Here is a 20,107-nt window from a genome sequence, read left to right on the forward strand (position 1 = left end):
GCATCACCTGGGAGCTTGTTAGAAATGCAAATACTACTGAATCAGTCACTCTGGCTCTGAGGCCCCCGGGAGATCTGTGGCTTAACAGTCCCTCTGATGATGATTCTGATGTGGATGATATTTGAGAATCCCTGCCCCAACTCCAGCAGCCATAGAAACTAACAGATTAGGTCCCCTTTGTTGACTCTCACATACTTCTGAGGATATTACAGCATAGTCTGAACCGTGCAGTAGTCAGAAATATGTTCAATACCTTCTGGTGTCAGGACAAAGACAGAGGCATCCCATTCCCCACCAGCTTACCTAAATGTTACTTTACTTTGCTTTTTTGGGGGGGGCAGGTGGGGGAGGTTGTGTTTTGAGACAGGGTCTCGCTCTGTAGCTCAGGCTGGAGTGCAGTGGTGCAGTCATGGTTCACTACAGCCTCAACCTCCCAGGCTCAAGCAATCTTACCATCTCAGCCATCTGAGTAGTTGGAACCACTGGTGTGTGCCACAATGCCTGGCTAAGTTTTTAGTATTTTTTTGTAGAGATGAGGTCTTGCTATGTTGCCCAGGCTGGTCTCAAACTCCTGGCCTCAAGCGATTTTCCCACCTCAGCCTCCTAAAGTGCTGGGATTACTAGACATGAGCCAGCATATCCGGCCTATTTTGCTTTTTCATTCACAAAGATACACCACTAAAGATGTCAGGGCCATATCTCAAACCTGCCCCAAGTTATTACAAGGTACATCTCAAGGTTGGAATAAGCTCCTTTTCCCAAAACAGACCAGGGTTCTGCCAGGACATGGGACAAATCATGCTGAGGATCAGACACCTCTTGTCCTTCTGTCTCCCTCAGGGGAGCCACTAGGCCTGCAGGTGCCCATTTCAGGTACAAAGAATTTTGTAAGGCAGGTGAGCGCGTTGTCAACATGAAGTAAGTACCAGAGTTAATCATAAGGATGAGGGTGGTGTCCCTAGAAGGGGTATTTCATAAGGGGTTAGAGAAACTCCTGTTCCTGGCCGGGCACAGTGGCTCACACCTGTAATCCCAGCACTTTGGGAGGCCAAGGTAGGTGGATCACAAGGTCAGGAGTTCAAGACCAGCCTGACCAATGTGGTGAAACCCCGTCTCTACTAAAAATACAAAAATTAGCCAGGCATGGTGGTGCATGCCTGTAATCCCAGCTACTCAGGAGGCTGAGGCAGGAGAATCACTTGAACCCAGGAGGCGGGGGTAGCAGTGAGCCAAGATCATGCCATTGCACTCCAGCCTGGGTGACAGAATGAGACTGTCTCAAAGGAAAAAAAAGAAAAAAGAAAAACTCCTGTTCCCAGCTTCCCCTAAGCTTTTGGGCTCTCCTAGCATCTTGAATGAGGCCTGGCCTGTGTGTTCATGTTGATGAGTCTTCATAGCCCCCTGATATACCTGGGTGTGTGTGTGTGTGTGTGTGTGTGTGTGTGTGTGTGTGTGTGTGTGTGTGTGACAGAGAGAGAGAGAGAGAGACAAAGACAGAGACCGAGAGAGTTATCAGCTGGCTGGCTCCAGGATTGAATACCAGTTACCTTAACTGTGCCCCTTATTTTCCCTTGACTCACACAAGCCGCTTCTGTTTGATTCACATAGAACCGTGAGAAACAGTCTCGTATGTGAGACTGTGTTTTTCATTCTATTCAGTCTTTGTATATTCAAATTCTTCTAGTTTCAGCTCTTGCTGTTCTGCCAGATTTCCATCGCATTGATGGCTTCTCTGAATTAATAAGTATTTTGCAATTGCTGAAAAGTTTTCTACCCCCAAGCACTGGGACTTATCCATATTGATTTTTCTCCCGTTTCTCTTTCCTCTCTAGCTCCTTCTTAGATGTTGTATTTTGTAACGTGTTAATAGAATTTTTCTTTCGTCCTGACACTTTATCTATTCAGGAGGTCTTTGCGAGCCCCATTGTACAGCCGGACTACAGAGGAAAGAGCTGTATTCTTTATGACAATGGTTGCCCTAAAAACATATACAGATCCTCCCCCACGCTCACCAGGGTGGAGCGAATGTTGAGAGGGCGCTATTAGAAAACGTCCAAACTTAGGAAGGAAAAGGAGAGCCAATTATGCACTGTTGAAAGGAGGTTTTGAAAATACGTTTTAAAAAAAATCCAAAACATTTATTTCCTAAGGGAATCTGAGTCCCAGTACCAAAACATGGCCAGCACAGAAGGGCAGCTGTTTTCCTTACTGTTAGGCATTTTCAGTTCAAAATAAGGATTTGGCAAAAGTCTTAGAAAATATGGAGATGGGTGCAAAACAGATGTCACATTTACCTGCGTGATACCTGGCAGGACTCATCCCCCACCCACCCACCCACACCCCAGGCATTCGAATTCCTATTGAGTCCCAGGGTCTGAGTCTGAGATATGCTCATATCACCATATGCTCGAGTGTGACTGCTCTGTGTACAAACACACCAGTTGATCTTATGGTGATTTTGCCTGTGTGGTGCACGGGAGGTGGAACGGCTGTTGTGTGTGTGGCCCCAGCAGGTTACCGTCGGCGGGGGCTCTTGAAGCCTGCCCAAAAGGAGTTTGTCCTGCCTGGGATGGGCATGGGGATCTCCAAACTAGCATTGCCCACTCCCATCATCCTGGTGCCTGGGAGAGAGGGGGCAGCTGCCTGCTGGAGGAGCCACCATGCCAGGCCATTTTCCTCCCAGTAACTGACTTCAGAAATGGGGAGCAGAAGGGGAAGGCCCCAGGAGCCTGTTTGTTCAGGCTTGGTTGCTTAGCAACAAAAGGGGGCCCTGACTTGAGAAGAGATTTTTAAGCCAGGCCAGTCCCTTTGAGGTTTATGACCGGCTTGCCTACCCCCATCTTCCATTCTTACCTTGACTTTGCTCTTCCCCCTATTACATTTGATCGCATCTAGAAAAATACGTTTGATTTGTCTGCAGGCACCATTTTAAACCTTGGTTTATTGCTTTGCCCAGCGTCTTCCCCTCCATTGGAGATTGTAGTCTGGGAGGAGTGAGGCATGAATAGCCCACGATTCCTTTTCTCAAAGGGATTAGCGCCAGCCCCCAAGCTCATTTGTGAGCCTTTGAGTGCACATCAACGGTGCTCAGTCCTTCTTAGCCACAGGCACACAGTGAAATTGCTCTGAGGACAGGGCCCCCCGCTAACAGTTTTACCCCCCCTACAGCCACACGGACTGGGTTGTATTTTTACCATCAACCTTGAGCACAAAGTAAATGAAGAGAGTAGGCTGCACACTGGTCAGACCAGGTGCCCTCCCCCGGTGCGTAGCTGAAGGGTGAGGACAAACACCTGTGCTAAAGATGTGTGCTCTGTGGGATAAAGGAGTGGGTCATAAATACTCATAAAAGGAGTGCATTCCAGAGCGGAATCTGGTTCATTAAGTGTGAGTTCCTTGAGCTCTACGTGGGAGTTGAGTGTGGACCCTGAAATCTTATTGCCAGAAACATGCAGAAGGGGTTACAGGATGCGTGGGAGGGGTCTGGAAGGGATTAGCAAGAGAGACAGAGGACGCCTTTGCTATTTTATTATGTTCTTCTCTTTGATGTTTTTAAAAAGGTCCTAGCATCAGTGTATTTGTTTGCTAGTACTGCCATAATAAAGTAACGCAGATTGGAGGGCTAAAACAACAGAAATGTATTTTCTCACAATTCTGGAGGCTAGAAGTTCAAGATCAAGGTGTGGCAGGGTTGGTTTCTTCTGAGGCCTCTCTCCTTGGCTTGCAGTCTTCTCCCTGTGTTGGCACATGGTCTTCCCTGTTTGTGTTTGTGTCCTAATCTCTTCTGATAAGGACACCAGTCATATTGGATTAGGGCCCACCCTAATGATCTCATTTTAAATTAATTACTTCTTTGAAGAACCTCTCTCCAAATACGGTCACATTTTGAGGTCCTGGGGGTTAGGACTTCAACTATGAATTTTGGGAGACACAGTTGAGCCCATAACAATCAGGATGTTCAAGCTTCACTGTTTATCACTAAAAACAATTCACATGTCTATTAGAAGGGCAATAATTAAGTAAGCTATGGCTTCTTACACTGGGAAATATGCATCGGTCAAGATAGTAGTATACATGATATACTAACCTGGAAATTGTTTGCCATATTGTAATGTTACAGGTTAACAAAAGGACAAATTCCATATACTATATGATTTAAACTATATTGAAATAGTCATAGTTTTTTCTTTCTTTAGAAAAAAAATACTCCAGGCCTGGAGCAGTGGCTCACACCTATAATCTCAGCGCTTTGAAAGGCTGCTGCAGGAGGATCACTTGAGCCCAGGAGTTCAAGACCAGTCTGAGCAACATAGTGGGACCCTGTCTCTAAAAAAATAAAATAAAATAACTGGGCATGATGGTACATGCCTGTAGTCCCAGCTACTCAGGAAGCTGAGGCAGGAGGATTGCTTGAGCTCAGGAGGTCGAGACTGCAGTGAGCCGTGATGGTGCCACTGCACTCTAGCCTGGGTGACAGAGTGAGACCCTGTCTCAAAAAATAAAAAGCAGACACTAAAGGGAACTATATAAAATGTTAACTGTATACAACGGTGTGGAGTGGAAAGACCACTGTTTTTTTTTCTTTCTACTTTTTTGCATTTTCAAATATTTTTTGATAAGCAACTATTACTTCTGTAATGGAAACTACCCCCTCACCCCCCGACATGCATATAATGTTTTGTGTACTTTCTTAAAATTCCTAAGGCAGCCTGTATTCTATATTTGTTTTGCAGGTGGAAGATGCAATGCTGATGTTTGATAAAACTACCAACAGGCACAGAGGTAAGATTACCCCAGTGTAAGAGGGTTGCGTTCACCCTCTCCTGGCCTCTCTGTCTGTCATCCCCAGTCCCACTGACAAAAGATACAGTGAAGAGTCCAGAGTCAAGCAGGTAGAGGTGACCATCCATTGAAGATCTTTATTCACGGAGAGTCCCAGTAGCACAAAGAGTTCCAGTACTGGATAGCTGAAAAACCATTTCCTTCTGGCCTAGGAACTCCTGTTTAGTTATGCAGCCATCCCTGACACACATATTCAGATGTACCTCTCTAATCCTGCCTTTCTGGGTCCCTTGCTAACCTCGGCACTAAGCGATCCAAGTGGAAATTATTCACAGCAGTGACTCAATTGAGTTATCAATTTGTATTGAAGGAGGTTCTTTAGGAGCAGACTGTCAATCTAAAGAGCCAAAAAATCAAAATAAAACATTGTAGGTTCGTTGGGTGTGTAGTGATTACAGCCTTGGGAATGCTCCGTGGGGCCTCTGGAATGTGTAGAGGGCATCTGTACTTAATTGTGTTTTTCCCTGTGCTGCTTCTGTCCCATCCACTTTACAAAAAATGGGTCTTAACCTGGAGTCTATGAACCTCTGCAATGACATGCAAAATGTCATATGTTTATACTTTTCTTGGGTGAAGATCCCTAGGTTTGGACAAATTCTCAAAAGGGTCTCTGGCCCTGCCCTTAGTCTCTTCCTTCCCCAAAAAGAACACATTAAATTTATTGCTTTAAACAGAAAAATTGGAGGCATCTAGAAAAGTCCTCCCTGGAGGTAGCAGAGTCAAAGGAGGTGATGACTTAGTGTTCTGTTCTCCGGAAGCTCAGGTTTCTGGGGTTCCTATTAACAGGGTGTTAATGAGCAGAGCTTCCTAAGGGGGTGGCAGGAAATGGTGTGCTGGTGCCCTCAAGGGAGGGAGCCTGTGAGTGAGCAGCATTTCCTTGCCACTTGGATCGCATTTAGATGTTTCCTGTGTTGTTTACATTCCTGCTGTCACCTGTGATTAGAAACAGTTACCCAGCACTGACTGTATGTCTTTCCTGTTTGGAGAAGGCAGAGTGAGTGAAAGGCAAGAAGGAGTGGAGTGGGAATCATTGCTGGCGGGGCTGGGAGAAGGAGGGGGATATCCTGAGTGCGTCTGGTAATCTGGCTTCAAATGCATCCCTCTACAGCATCCTCAGAATGGGAGAATGGAGCATTGGGTGCACAACAGTGGTGTCAAGTGGTATTTATGGAGGGAAGAGATGGCAGGGGGTGGAGGGTGGGGAGCAGTGGAGAAGCAGGGAGAGAAAGGAGGGGCATGCAGGTGTGGAATGATCGATTTTGTCCACTGCATTGCTGGGGAGTGAGAGCCCAGTGAGTGAGATGAAGGTGGTGCCCGTGGTGGGCAATTGAGGATTATCCTCCATCATCATCCACATTCTGTCAATCTAGCTTTATGGTTTCCAAGCCGGACTTCCAGATGCATCTCCTAATGTGACCTTCACAGCAGCCCCTGGAGGGTTGTTGTGACATTGGGAAAAATCACTTAACTTCTTTATGCCTCAGTTTATTCATCTGTAGGATGGGGGTAATCATAGAACCTCCTCACAGGATTGCTCGGAGAGTGTAATGCCAAGCATCTAGTCAATTGTGCGTAAATGTTAGCTCTTATTATTAGCGTTATCATCACCTCCGTCCGGTTGGAAAAATAACCAAGGCTCAGAGGAGGCAACTGAGAGACCCATGGCTGAGCAGGGTCTCAGGACTATTGATTTCAAATTCTGCTGTTTCTCTGCTGTGTCCAGATGGGAATGCATTTGTTAAAAAGAGCACTGCCAGCTATTTATTTTCAGGGTGGGTGATGCCCATTTGAGTTTGGCACCTGGTGTTCAGTGTTAGAATTCATAGTCCTGGGAGATTCCAGAGTTGCCCCCAGGTGATACTGTTGTCCTTTTATTTTGAAAATCAGTGAAAGTATTTTTTGATCTGCTGTGTGTCAAGCCCTGTGCTGGGGGCTCACACTGGTATCGTCTCATTAACTCTCAGAGCCGGGCAGGGAGAGGGCTGGTCATGGCAGAGGTGGGGTTGAAACACCGGACTTTGGACTTCTGGGTGAAGGCCCAGAGGATGTGCCGGGAAAAGTCCTCTCTTATTTTTAACCAGATCCCTGTTGCTGTGGGTGAAGCCTCTTCCCTTTTTCCAAAAGGGAGAAAGGAAAGTGCTGGGCCGCAGAGATGGGGTGGCGGTTCGTCTGGGACGGGCGTGGGAAGAGTTTTTTGCCCGTTGTGAGGTGGAGGATGGTCTGTTGGAAGGCCCGCTGCTCAGAATGGCTTCGGGACATCATTGCTGGCTCTCCAGGAGTCCTGGTGGGCACTGGCAGGAAGGAGCGTGGGCAGGGCCTTGGTGCATGCACACTCCTGCCCCCAGCCAAGCCAGAACCTCTGCTAGCACCCTCGGACCTGCCAGAGCTGAAGATGCCTGCAGTGGGGGCAGGACCAACTCTAAAATGTGTGGAGCCCAGAACTAGAGGAAAGGCAGGGCCTCCTATTCAAAGATGATTGAGAAGCTGGCCTGAGGGGCTGCAGCCTGTGGAGGGCAGAGACATGCCAGGAAGCCTCAGCAGGGAAGAGCCGCCATCCCACTGCCCTCCCTCTCATCCAGGGCCCTCCCACTCTGCAATGTCGTTTCTGTGTGGGTGGGAGCAGCGGCCCATACACACGTTCCAACCCCTCAAGATACCGGAGGAGGCATTTCTCTTTGAACTGGGTGCTAAAGTTGGTGTAATACTTCACTGCATTTAGAACATTGAAGAGAGTGAAAAAAAATTTTTGTTTTTCAAAAAGAAGAACATATCACAGCAGAGGCACAGATCATATATATGGAGCGAGCCGGCCCCACATCTGTGGCCTGATGGAGTGCACATTTGGAGTCAGGTGATAAGCACAAGGAAGTAAAATCCTCATGCAGCCACCTTGCCCCAAACTTACCTTCACCTCCTCGGTTCCTGCTGTCCATGATCTTATCAAGAGGAAAGTGCTGCAGTGGCAGAAGTTGAGGACATCTCCCTGGCTGGCGCCGCCTCCAGCTCTCTTCTTAAAGAGGCCCAGACCATCGACCCAGAGGTGTTGTCACAGCACATGCTCAGCACTTGTCCTCAGACTCCTAGCCCAGCCCTGTGGGGCAGCCTGGGGCCTCAACTCATCCTTACCCCAGGAATTTTGACAGCTACCTGTGTGTCCTTGGAGCTGTGTGACATGAGCTGTGTGACATTTGCTGCTCGGGGATAACCACAGGGAACTGGGCTTAACATCTGATGAGCGTCAGGTGGGCCAGGCTCCCAGGGCCCATTCAGTCTCCACTTGCTGTTAGGAGCCACAGGTCAGGGCAGAATTTCCACTCCTTGACCCCACTGGTCACCTCCTGTCCCTGCTCCCTGTTGGTCTCTGTTGGGGCAGGGATGCCCTCAGTTCCATCTGCATGGCGGCAGCTTGTATCTCCCATCCACAGGAGCACCAGCCTGGGGCTCACTAGTGCCATGGGAGAGAACCCAGGACCTAGGAGAGAATGAGCCTCCCGCAATGTATGTCTTCCACCCTGCAAGCAGGAAGAGGGTCCCACGTTCAGTCTTTGACTCACAGTGGGTGGAGCCCTGGAGATGTGGGGGCTCTCACCTTTCTCCTTGCAGATGGGCCTTCCTCCAGCTTCTGCTGCTCCCATGACATTTTTCCTGGGGGCACATTCCCTGACCTCTGAGCATCTCAGGTTCTTCCTCTAAAAAATAAGAGACCTGGGATTGATGAGCCCCAGGACCTGAAGTATGTTTCTGGCCTTTAGCTTTTTAACTGTGAGAATGTTCAAGATGAATTCCTTTGCTGTTTTTGTGACTAGGGGAGGGAATGGGCAGTTGTTGCAGGTTGGGTTCCCTGGGAAGCAACTCTAGGAAGGGATTAGCAAGTGGGAGGTTTATCCAGAAGTGCTCTTGATCAGGAGAGGGCAGAGGGAGAAGCTGACTTGCGATGCCCTTCTGTAATGGGGTGGTTCTTCAGGGGTCCCCAGCTGGGGTGGGAGTGCCATCCTTGATGCCTGCACGCTGGCCTGTCATTGGGTGCAGCCCACCCTGTGAGGCTGATGTGACCTGGGCTTCCCCTGGGGAAATCCTGGAGGGGACTTCCAGCTGGGGACTATCTTCCAGCAGCACTCCCAGCCACTGGGAAGGAGGTCCTTCATTCCTGAAGGGGATCTAAGCATCCTGACACAGCACCCACTGTGATGGTGTGTGGAGTTCTGTTGCTGTCTAAGCAGGCCATGTTAGCAATCTTGATAGAAACAGCCAACACTTTCTGAGCACTTACAACACCAAGTGCTTAGCACAGTGCTGGCACCTACCATTGAACCTTGATGACAGACAGCCATAGGTGAACCGAGCTGCCCAGAGTCTCACACTGGTGAAAGCAGAGCTGGGACGTAAACCCAGCCTGTCTGACCTGGAGCTCAGGCTCTTACACTCTGCAAGCATTGTGCAAGGTAACTGGTTAAAGCGGAGGAGCTGGTCATTTTAAGGGTTTGGTATTTCCTCATTTTCTGTCCTTCTCCACAACAGCCTTCTTGCTGGATGACCGTGCTCCTCCATTTCCACTTGGAGAAATTAAGGCACATAAGTTTGGAATATTGCATAGCAGATTCCTGCAGCCAGACAAGGAGCAGAGCTGTTGTTAAAACCTGGATGCCAGTCGGCACGATGGCTCACACCTGTAATCCCAGCACTTTGGGAGGCCGAGGCGGGTGGATCACCAGAGGTCAGGAGTTCAAGACCAGCCTGGCCAACATGGTGATACCCTGTCTCTACTAAAAATACAAAAATTAGCCGGGTGTGGTGGTGGGTGCCTCCTGAAATCCCAGCCACCCGGGAGGCTGAGGCAGGAGAATCGCTTGAACCCAGGAGGCGGAGGTTGCAGTGAGCCGAGATGGCGCCATTGCACTCCAGCCTGGGCAACAAGAGTGAAACTCCGTCTCACAAAAATATAAAACAAAAACCTGGATGCCTCCCTTGGCCCTGTCCCTCACTTCATTTCCTGGCCTTCCATACGATGATTTGTGCCCAGGGGGAGCGGAGAATGGTGGCTTTCCAATCTTCTCAGAGTCACTTCATTTGCTGTCTAAAAGTTGTTAGAGATGGTCTGGAAAACACTGGGCTGATCGTCAATGGATTTAATCATTAGGAGGGGGAAGTTTGTTGCTTTATCCTTGTAAAAGTCAGATAAGATCTGGGACTTGGCATTAAGTATTGATCCCAAGTGGGGCTGGAGGGGAGGGACAGGGAGGGAAGAGGCAACAAGGTGCTGTCCTTCCAGTTTGCTCTGTTGTTGGCAGGAGGCCGGGGAGTAGACAGCCAGCGGGAGGGAGGAAGGGTGCACTGGCCAGCTCTCTCTCCAGTGTCCCCACAACCTCAGCCCTGATGGAGAAAGTGGAATGCGGGCATGTTGCTTGCTGAAATAATCTCACACTCACCTCCTTATGGGGGAAGGGAACCCTCCCCATTGTGAGGGTCACTGTAGAGGATCCTCAGCTGTCCTTCCCTCCAATTTCAGAGCCCTGGGTTCCTGAGCCCTGCACAGCTGGGTTCCTCCAGGGAAGATCTGGATGGTTGAGGCCTAGTTGAAAGGAGGTGAGGAGTCTCTGAAGCTAATCCCATAGCCTGGTGAGGGAGTGGTTTCTGGCAGAGGACATCCCTGTGGCCTTCATTACCCAGCAGGCCTGCTTGCCCTGGAACATTGCCAGAGGCAAAGGAACAGGAGACACGGGGAGAGAAATAAAGATTAGTGTGATGGATGACTCTTCTGCCAGCAGTTAGCAGTTGCTTATTAAATGCAATGCTAATGGCTTTGGAGAGGAATAACAGCCCTGAGACCCACTGGAAGGGGGTGGGATGGTTTTGTGAGCCCCAGCGAGCACCATCAGTGGCAGGCCTCTTGAACTAAGAGGGTCCTTTCCCAGAGTGGCTGTGGTTTATCCCAGTTCCTGGGCTGGAAAGGTGCAGTGGTTGGGGATCCAGCCAGAGGGAGGAGCATCCAGGCAGGTGGCCGGAGAGCTTGGGTTCTTCCTGGAGCTTGCTCAGTCTCTGTCCCGAAAAGCAGCTGGCCAAAGTTTAAGGTCTTTGTAATTTGCGTAATCGGTTTATTTATTAAAATGGTGCCAGTAAGATGTAACTTAAGCTGTGATAGAAGATAATGCTTTTCTAAGGAGGAAGAACAGCCCTTAATGTTTTGAATACCTGCCAGACACTCACTTTTGAAATTGACCTCTGAAGTCCAGATTGACTCTTTTATGTACGATGTATAAAGATGCCTAAGAATTGCACTGTCATTATTTGTTTATTGGTGTCTATTACTCAAAAAAAAAAAGAGGGCATAGAAAAAAGTTTCACAAAGGTGTAGGTTACATTTTAAAATAATTTAAAGCATTGCTTCACTTGTAGGTGTGGGATGTCAGACATAATGTATGCATGTCCTTCCTAATGAGAGTCTAACATTCTGACTTTATTTACCTAGGGAAGAACGTTGGGACTGTATAAGCTGTACATGTGACTTTGTAGGATGGAGGAATAAGTGTATTTGACAAAAACGATCAGACCCTCTGGCCAGAAAGGGCACAGTCCAAGAAGAAGGGTTGTTGGAGGGAGTAGAAAGTATGATAAGGATGTGTAGAATCACAGCTGGTGATGACACTTTTGCTGATGTGACAGGAGGGCAGCCTGCAAAAGATTGGCTCCCACGCTGCCCTCGTTTGGGGTCTGGAGCAGGATTTGCTGCCTGTCTTCCCTGCTGGCATTTTACCGGTAGTATTTTCCCCACCTCTCAAATCTGCTCTTATCTTTTCACTAATTGTTGATGGTGTTAAGTATCCATCAAATCCTCTCCCAAGTCTGAGATGTGTTAAGGGGTTTATTGGAAGCCTGTAAACCAACAGTTGGTCACTATTGGTATTGATCCTAATTCTGCACCAGGATTAGAAACCACTTGACAAGAAAGCGGACAGTCTGTCATAGACCACCACCAACAGCCAGGGTTCCTGGCCTCCCAGAGCTTTCAGTTTAGTCCGTAGTGTGATGTAACATGCCAGCTGGGTTCTCTTAGGTAAGTTCAGGGTCCTAGATGGGGTTAGGTGAAAATCCAGTTCTCTTTCCAGAGTGGACCATTGTTGGGTGGCAGAGGGTGGGGCGGTGGGCAACTGTTTAAGAAAGACATTGACCAACAGGAATCTGGGAGAGAATGGTGAGAATGGGGTAGAAACTCAATATGATTGAGTCCAAGAGGTCTTGAGGGGAGTGGAGAGCTGTGATGTGGTCATTCATTGCAGCCTTTGGGTACTTGAAGAGTTTCCATTGGAAAAGAGTTCTGTGTAGCCTCAATGTTGGGCACACTTGAGTTAGAACAAGGAAGAATCGCCTAGTCCAACAGTGGCAATAAGAGGACAGCCATTGCCCCTCTGCCAGATTCTCAGAACCCAAGGTTCTGTGCCTCCAGTGGGCTCATTCTAAAGCTGGGACTGTGTGAGGGGGTGGGCATGCTGCGTGCCCACCGTGAGGGGCACACCCGCCTCTTCACTGCCTTGCAGGGCTGTATCCCCAGGCCCTGTAACCTTGCAGCGATGGAGGGCAAAGGAGGGGGTGGGATAAAGAGTCAGCCCACCCTTTGCCATCTTTCAGAGACCAGCCCCGGAGCTGTCTGCACATTTTATTTTCTCGTTAAATAAACACCATTAGCCTTCCTGAGAAATTGGTGCAAACATGACCTCGCAAATAACCAATTAAAAGGGTAGGGTTGAAGGGGAATGTGAATTTGAAAACATGTAGAGGAGGCCATTAAGGATTCCTGTAGAATCTGGCAACATCGATCCAAGACCTTAATTTTATTTCTGACAGGAAAGCAAGGAGTGTGCTTTCATTTTTTTCCCCCGAGTTAACTCAATTCCGGAAGCGCCCATTCCGGCGCTGTCTCTTGAGATATTAATCAACACAGTAGCTTGGTTTCTGTTCACCTGCTCTTCTTTGGAGACACGGAGTAATACAAAGCCCTCAACTTCCTAGCAACAGGGCTGGGGGACAGGGTGCCCGGGGCAAGAGGGAGCTTGCAAAGCCAGGGGGAGTTTGGTACCCAGGATGAGCTGCACTTTTTTAGCCAAAATACAAATCTTAAACTTCTTTCCTTTGGAATAAAAGCCCTGGCACCAAAAGGGTGGTGACCTAATAGGTCTTCCTGCCTCCCCCTGCTGTGGCCCACGGAAGCAGAAAGGGAGTGGGCTCAGGGTCAGCAACTTCACTGACCCAGAAGTGGTTTTTTTGTAGAGAGGGACAATGAATCTTTTGTTTGGTCCTGTTCCCATAGAGGCCCAGGCTCTGACTCTCACAACATGGTTTAAGATCTCGGTGAGGGCAGAGTGTGGAGATCTGAAGAGAAAGGAGCTTTTAGCATGGCAGCTTGATTAAAAGCACCCCCTTTCTTAGCATCACGGCACTGCCAGTGGCCGGAGAGGGCTGGGCCAGGGGTCGCCGCAAGCCCTGGGTGGCTGCCTCCCCGTTGGGACTTAAGGTTCCTAGAGGGGTCCCGGTTATTATGCACCTCTGGACTTCAGCCTCTGTTTTCAGTTTGTGGATCAGAGGGTGTACGCTATCCCATCTGTATCTGTATATCAGCATGGTATGCTGCAAAGAGCTTGAGTTTTAGAGTTGGTCATACTCGGTTTCAGATCCCAGCTTTCCCTTGGGCGTGATCTCAGGCAAGTTACAAGATGTTTTACTCCCTTGTGAAGGTAACACACCCGCTCTGTAAGAGTTAAATGATTCCGCTTGCGAGGTGCCCACTCCCCACTCCCCGCAAGTGGAGAGTGCGGGGCAGCCTGGTTTCTTCCCCCTTCCTCCTTAAGTGAAACCACCTGCTTAACTTCTTTAGGCAAACAAACTAAAATCTGTGTTTGAGTTTTGGGGACCCTAGTCTTGAAAAATAAAACCCTTTCGTGGTTGTTTTTTCCTCTGCTTTGCACACACACATATGCTTGCATGTGCATGGAATATCTTTGAAAGGATGCCTGCAAAATCGGTAACAAGGAGTTAGAACTGCATATTGGTTAAGATCACATGCTCTGAAGTGAGACAAATCTAAGCTCTGGGACTTAATAGCTGTGTGACCTTGGGCAACTTACTTATCTTCTCTGCAACTCAGATTCCTTATCTGTAAAATAGGACATTGGGTTAGCCTGAAGCTTACGTCATTTAATGAGTATAAAGGGTTTGGAACAGTCTCTGCCCATACTAAACACTCAAATATGTTTTATGCACACGTGCATATCATATGCAGATGTACATACATTAAAAACATACATACATAAAAAAGTGTTTGCTCCTTTTTTATGGGGAAGAGAATTAAGCAACCTGAGATACAGAGACGGAGGGAATCTTTTTATTATATACTCATTTACTTTTTGAATTTTTTTTTTTTTTTTGAGACGGAGTCTGGCTCTGTTGCCCAGGCTGGAGTGCAGTGGCGCAATCTTGGCTCGCTGCAATACTTTTTGAATTTTTGTACCTTATGCACTTATTACCTATTCATTTACTTCTTTAGTGTGAGCTTTTAAAATTTATTCCAATTTGAATTGTCAATGCAGTGATAGAACAACGTGAAAGAGACTTTTTGAAAGAAAGAAAATTTACCAGCCGGGCACAGTGGCTCACGGCTGTAATCCCAGCACTTTCGGAGGCCAAGGTGGGCAGATCACTTGAGGTCAGGAGTTCAAGACCAGCCTAGCCAACAGGGTGAAACCCCATCTCTACTGAAAATACAAAAATTAGCCAGGAACGGTGGCACGTGCCTGTAATCCCAGCTACTCAGGAGGCTGAGGCAGGAAAATTGCTTGAACCTGGAGACAGAGGTTGCTTTTTGTTTCCATAAACAGATGATCTGATGGATAGATGAGGATTTTCTTAGTAGTTTCTGCTCTTCCCAGACAACGTGCTATTATTAGAATAGCCAGACTGGCCCTGGTCTGAAAAGAAGCCTGGTTTGCGCCAGTTCATCCAAGACCAGAGGGGAGGAGGGCCAGAACAGGGAGGTCCTCCATCCCAGGAGCTCAAAGTGCTTCGTAATTCAAGTTTAAAAAAAGTTAAAAGCATTTTTCTACCCCAAGTTATGACTAGTAAACACGTGGGGACCTTACACAGCGTGGCAAATGCAGAATCTTCCTCTGCATTCCCATTGTTTATGGCTTAGGAGTCAAGGCAACACCCGGTTAATGATGCTTGTGAAGTGTCTGGGCCATGTGGCAAAGGGATAAGAGCTTAGGTCCAGATTCCCACTGCAGGACTCACTTTCCAGAGCAACCACTAATCAATTGCTGTGTGACCCTGGACAAGTTACTAAATCTCTCTGAACCTCAGTTTTCTCATCTATTAAATGGTGTTAATGTTATTAACTCATGGACTTGGGAAGTTTAAGTGAGATAGTTTATCTGTGTGAAACATCTGATGCTTGGAAGGCTATCTGTAAATGTTAACTTTGTCATTATCATATTAATTATTGTTATTTTACTACTAAGAATACTGTGACTGTCATTACTTCGGGAATGGAGGCTCAGGCTTGCTGATTGGAGAGAATGTTAACACCCTAGATGGCTGCTGGCAGATGCTGTCAAGTTTTCCACCTTGAAGGGTGTTGTGGGCTGAATTTTGTCCTCCAAAAGCATAAGTTGAAGTCCTGACCCCTAAAAGATACCCCCAAAAGAAGTCCTAACCCCAAAAAGATAAGTTGAAATACCTCAGAATGTGACCTTATTTAGAAAGAGGGTCTTTGGAGGTGTAATCGGGTTAAGAGGAGGTCTTAGTGGAGTGAACTGATCTCACCATAGTCCTTATAAGAAGGAACATGTGAAGAGAGAGACACAGGGAGATGGCCACATGACCTCAGAGGCAGGGACAGGGGCAGTGCGGCTGCAAGCCAAGGATTGCTGACCACACCAGAAGCTAAGAGAAGAGCCTGAAACAGATTTTCCCCTGAGCCTTCAAGAGGGCATGGCCTTGCCAACACCTGGATTTCAGATTTCTAGCTTTCAAAACTGAGACAGAATAAGTTTCTGTTGTTTTAAGCTCCCCCCTCCCATTTGTGGTAGCTTGTTATGGCAGCCCTAGGAAAATAATAGGGCAAAGCAGAGTTTCCTGCCCAGTATGTCCCCTTGCTCACTACTGGCCTGCAGTCCTGGTGGTCAGACTTATCCTTCTCGCTCTGTGCCTTGCTAGTCACAACCCCCCTAAGCAAAATGATGTGCAAGAGAAGTTAGAGAAAAGACCTTTCATGCAACTGAGAACACAGCCCCCGAAGCCTGACTTGGTTCACACCTTGCCCAAGTCTAATTTGCCAAAGACCTTGAAAGTGACCTTAGGATGTTAAAGATACATTTTGGTAGAGAGAGAGAGAGAGAGAGAGAGAGACACTTCAAGAAGTCTGAAGTTTACATTTTAATTTAGTGGCCTGCAGGGCTCAGTCATTTCTTTATAAGCCAAGGAATAACCAGTACAGTTATGAGTTGTCAGAATTCCCAACTCCAGCGACACAAACCATACTCATTAGAGTGGCGTTTCTAGCTGGTTCATTCAACTTGGCAATTCAGGGAAATAATCCAGAAAAAGAACGAAAGGAAGAAAAGGAAGGAATTCAGGAGAGCTCATGTGTATGACAACATGCACCCTGGCATCCCTATATACCTGCCTCCTTTCTATCCTGAAAAAAAATAAGAAAACAGCAAGACAACACTGAACTTCAAAAGCTGCCAAACAGACTTCTTTATTTCTTTATGTTGTCCCAGAAGCTCTTTCAGGCAGGAACATTTGCCAATTCAATCCTGGAGTGAATTTTTAAGCTAAATTAATGCAGTTGGGGGTCAAAATGGCAACACCTACAGGTCTTCAGTTGTAAGGACACCGGTGGGCACAGCAGTAATTGATCATTATAGCACTCATGTGGATGTGCTTCTCTTAATCCCCTGGTTTGGTTGGCAAACCAAGTAGTGTATAAAAATCACTGCCATGATTTTAAAGTGATCAAAGTTGTACACCTTTGAGCACTCCTTACGCATTTGAAATTTCTCCCTCAACTTGCCACCCATCTTGGTATCAGGAAATAACTGAAAGTGCCTTCTTCCCCCTGAATGTGTCCAGCGTTGGTGCCTGCGTTCTAGCACCCTAGGCAAAGCTGGCGCCTCTGCACCAGATCTGCAATGTGCGTACGCAATGCTGACATCCGATTTATTATCTCGGAGGGCTGGGCTGGTTCATGGATGATTCATGACTCTGCTTTCCACTGCCGCTGGAGGTGACATCATCTATTCGGGACCCAGAATAGACACAGGAGCAACAGTGGGCCGTGTTTTGTGTGTCTCTCACCAGCCCTGGGCTCCCTCCCACTTGCCACCCCGCTGCTGGGTGTTCATTGAGTGAGAATGGTGGTGACCCAAGGAGTCCGTCGGAAATGTCTTCTTAGTGGAAGGTCATAAATGTGTTTCAACACTGTTGCACAATAAAGCAGAGAAGGGACCTTTCCCAAAGTTCATCTCTTCCCTTACGTTCTTCTAGTTGGAATTTAGATTTCACTGGCAACCCAAGAGCTGCTTCACTCTGTGGCCGACTTTGATTTTCTCATGTAGAGACAGGGTTGGTTAGGAAAGTCTGGCTGAGATAATTTATCCCACAGCCTTAGCATTGGTCACCCTGCATGATGACTGATTAATGTCATGTTAGATGTTGGAATTGGATCGATGGTTTCCAACCTGGTTGTACACTAAAATCCCCTGGGGAGTTTTTAAGATGTCCTGATGCCTGAGTCCCACCCCAGACCAATTAAGTGAGACTGAAAGATGGAGCCCTGGCATTGGTTATTTTTAACATTTTTCCAGCTGATGCTAATATGCAGTCAGGGCTGGGCACCCCCTGGGTCACATGACCTTCAAGGAGCCTTCCAGCTTTCAAACCCTTTAAAAAGGCAGCACTGCTGACTTGGACCAGGTCTTTGAGCCTGGTCTGTGTCTGGGCAGTCTGGCACGTGTCCTGCTGTTAAGCCCTGGGAGGTGGGGATGCCTCCTTCATGTGGGGCCCTTCGTGGGTGACTAGGTCAGCTCCATCCGTCGTCTGTGCCCATGACTTCTTGTAATTTTCCTTTGTGGCACTTCTCAGTTCTTAATGATTGCTATTTGCTTGATTATTTGATTTGTATCTGTGTCTTCCACTCTCCTCCATGTCCCCTTTGCCCAGCAAATACCATTAATCTATGACAAGAGGGTGGGCACTCACCTTGGTCTCTGTCCTAATTTGCCTGAAAACTGAGAATGGTTCCTACTCAATGCTTCCCATCTCAACTTCCTTTGCTCTAACAAAACGGAGGTGCAGGAGCCCTGTCTGGAGAGGCGTGTAGGAGCTACACCTGTCTTCTGAAGAGGGCCTTGGAGACCTAAAGAAATGATCTGGGAACACTTTTTCCAGCACCCAAGGAAAGAACCCAGCAAACTAATGAGAATTTTTTCTTGCTGGCTTAAGAGGGGGGGAAAATGCCTTTAGTGTTGTTGTAGCTGTTCTTAACAGCTGATTTAGAAGAAACACTGAAAGTATTGGTTTGAATCAAAAACATCAGTCCTGCCTGTAGTTCCGCCTTGGACCCATGCTGCCTGGTTGCAGCCCTGGAAGGCTGGGGGGACGGCACGCTTTAGCCAGGGGTCTGTTGCAGTATTTAAAGTGCCTATGCATTTCTACCCCAGAGGCCAGGTAGAGAGAGGTGTGTGCTTACAGATCGAGTTCTAAATTTCCTCCCCACTTCCAAAATCACTAGTTTTGGCATCTTAAGTCTTCTTTTAATTAAGTTGATTCATTTGCTCTGGAAAGAGTTTTCCTGATTCAGCTAGTATATTTATGTATAAACTACTCTGGAAACACCTGGCAATTTTTCTGAGTGACAATGAGGAGACGTCGTTTGAAAATTATGGTTTAATTTGCTCCCTCCCCCATGCTGTCTTACCTTTTCAAAAATGGGTAAGATTTACAAAAGAAGCTTTGTATTTTGCCCATATGTTTTACAGCAGAGATATGTGTATCAACAATACCTAATAATTTCCCTTCATGTTATTTTTAGAACTCTAGCTTTTAATGGACAATTGAATCATTCCTTGGCAAAGAGGAAATCATCTAATTACATGTTTTTATTTATTATGAATTTGCAGGTAGGCCCCAGAGAGATTGGTGAGCATATATAAAAAGTTAGAATAAACAGCATCTTAATGACTATTTTCAGGAGTGAAAAACTATGTTGTCTCTTTAGGGTTGCATCCCAGCTCTGTGTGTTGTGTGTATGTGCGTGTGAGTGTTGCTTGCAGAGTGTGTGTGCCTGTGAGTGTGTTTGTGTGTAGGTAGGAGGGTGCAAGGCACATTTGAATTGGACGTGGCCCTCGGTTGGTTTCAGAAAGTAAACTGGAATCAAAAACGCTATAAAGGATCAAAATAGGAGAGAAGACACCTGCCCCTGTTTTATTTTGCTTTATTTTAGGTTTATGGCCTCTTTAGTGTGGGACTAATTAAAATCCCCTGATAAGGCCTAGTACCCTGGCCTGGTCATTAGCAGCGTTGTTCACTTTTCCTGGGTAGGATAAGTGGCTTCCAGAAACAAAGTGGTTTGAATCAGAAATGGCACCTCCTGGGTTCATCCCCTCTTTTCTTTTCTTTATAAGGTTCTTTCAAAATGCACGGGGTAGGGCGCTGCAGGTAGCCCAGCGAATCTTGCTGCTGCCAGGGCAGTAGCAGCTGGGGTGGGAAGAGGAGAGCAGCTGGGGTTGTGTTATTAGTCATTCCATGAAGAGATTGATTTGATAAATAATAAAGCAGCGATATTAGCAACACATGCTTGCAGGTCAGATGACTTCGATGAAAACCCCCAGTTAAGTGTGTGTAATGGTTTGACAATATATATGCCTTCTAAAAACATCCTATTTTAAAATGGAAATTGGACTGTTCTTGCAATTCTTAGCAAATATGCCAAGACCATTACCAAAGGGAGCTTGGAAATCTGAAGGGTGATGTTTCTATTTAATTTGGCCTCTACCCTCCCCCTTTCAAAGGATGCTTAAACTCACTTTGTTTTCCTGTCCTTGCCTTTTCATTTTGTTAACTGTTTTGATTTGTAAAATACTATGCCTCATACTACACTCCTTTATGATGATTTACTGTGCTGTTCTTATCTTTCACCTTAAATCCTTGATAAGAGCATTTTAAAAATGAGATTGCTACCTGACACTATTATAAAATCTTGGCTGGCAGCCAGTGG

The 20,107-nt window shown here is 47.0% G+C and overlaps 1 protein-coding gene across 12 annotated transcripts in view, besides 3 other annotated features; it reads left to right on the plus strand.

Annotated features, from left to right (window-relative positions):
* MSI2 (musashi RNA binding protein 2) overlaps positions 1–20,107 on the plus strand; it is a 445,731-nt gene that overhangs the window by 269,092 nt on the left and 156,532 nt on the right. For all 12 annotated transcript variants that reach the window (NM_001322250.2, XM_047435313.1, XM_047435314.1 and 9 more), the window contains one exon: positions 4,734–4,782. In NM_001322250.2, coding sequence (NP_001309179.1) covers positions 4,734–4,782 — 49 coding nt within the window. The remainder of the gene's footprint in view (positions 1–4,733; positions 4,783–20,107) is intronic.
* Positions 2,866–3,698: an enhancer, noted in NCBI's record as "NANOG-H3K4me1 hESC enhancer chr17:55605169-55606001 (GRCh37/hg19 assembly coordinates)". NCBI's record gives its function as "activates a minimal SCP1, AML or CMV promoter by ChIP-STARR-seq in naive H9 embryonic stem cells {active_cell/tissue: H9 hESC(naive)}" and the evidence as "EXISTENCE:reporter gene assay evidence [ECO:0000049][PMID:30033119]".
* Positions 8,824–8,873: an enhancer, noted in NCBI's record as "active region_12441". NCBI's record gives its function as "activates an Ori minimal core promoter by ATAC-STARR-seq in GM12878 lymphoblastoid cells {active_cell/tissue: GM12878}" and the evidence as "EXISTENCE:reporter gene assay evidence [ECO:0000049][PMID:35858748]".
* Positions 8,884–9,073: an enhancer, noted in NCBI's record as "active region_12442". NCBI's record gives its function as "activates an Ori minimal core promoter by ATAC-STARR-seq in GM12878 lymphoblastoid cells {active_cell/tissue: GM12878}" and the evidence as "EXISTENCE:reporter gene assay evidence [ECO:0000049][PMID:35858748]".

The sequence above is a fragment of the Homo sapiens genome, chromosome 17 (genome assembly GCF_000001405.40).
Source record: "Homo sapiens chromosome 17, GRCh38.p14 Primary Assembly".
NCBI lineage: Eukaryota > Metazoa > Chordata > Mammalia > Primates > Hominidae > Homo > Homo sapiens.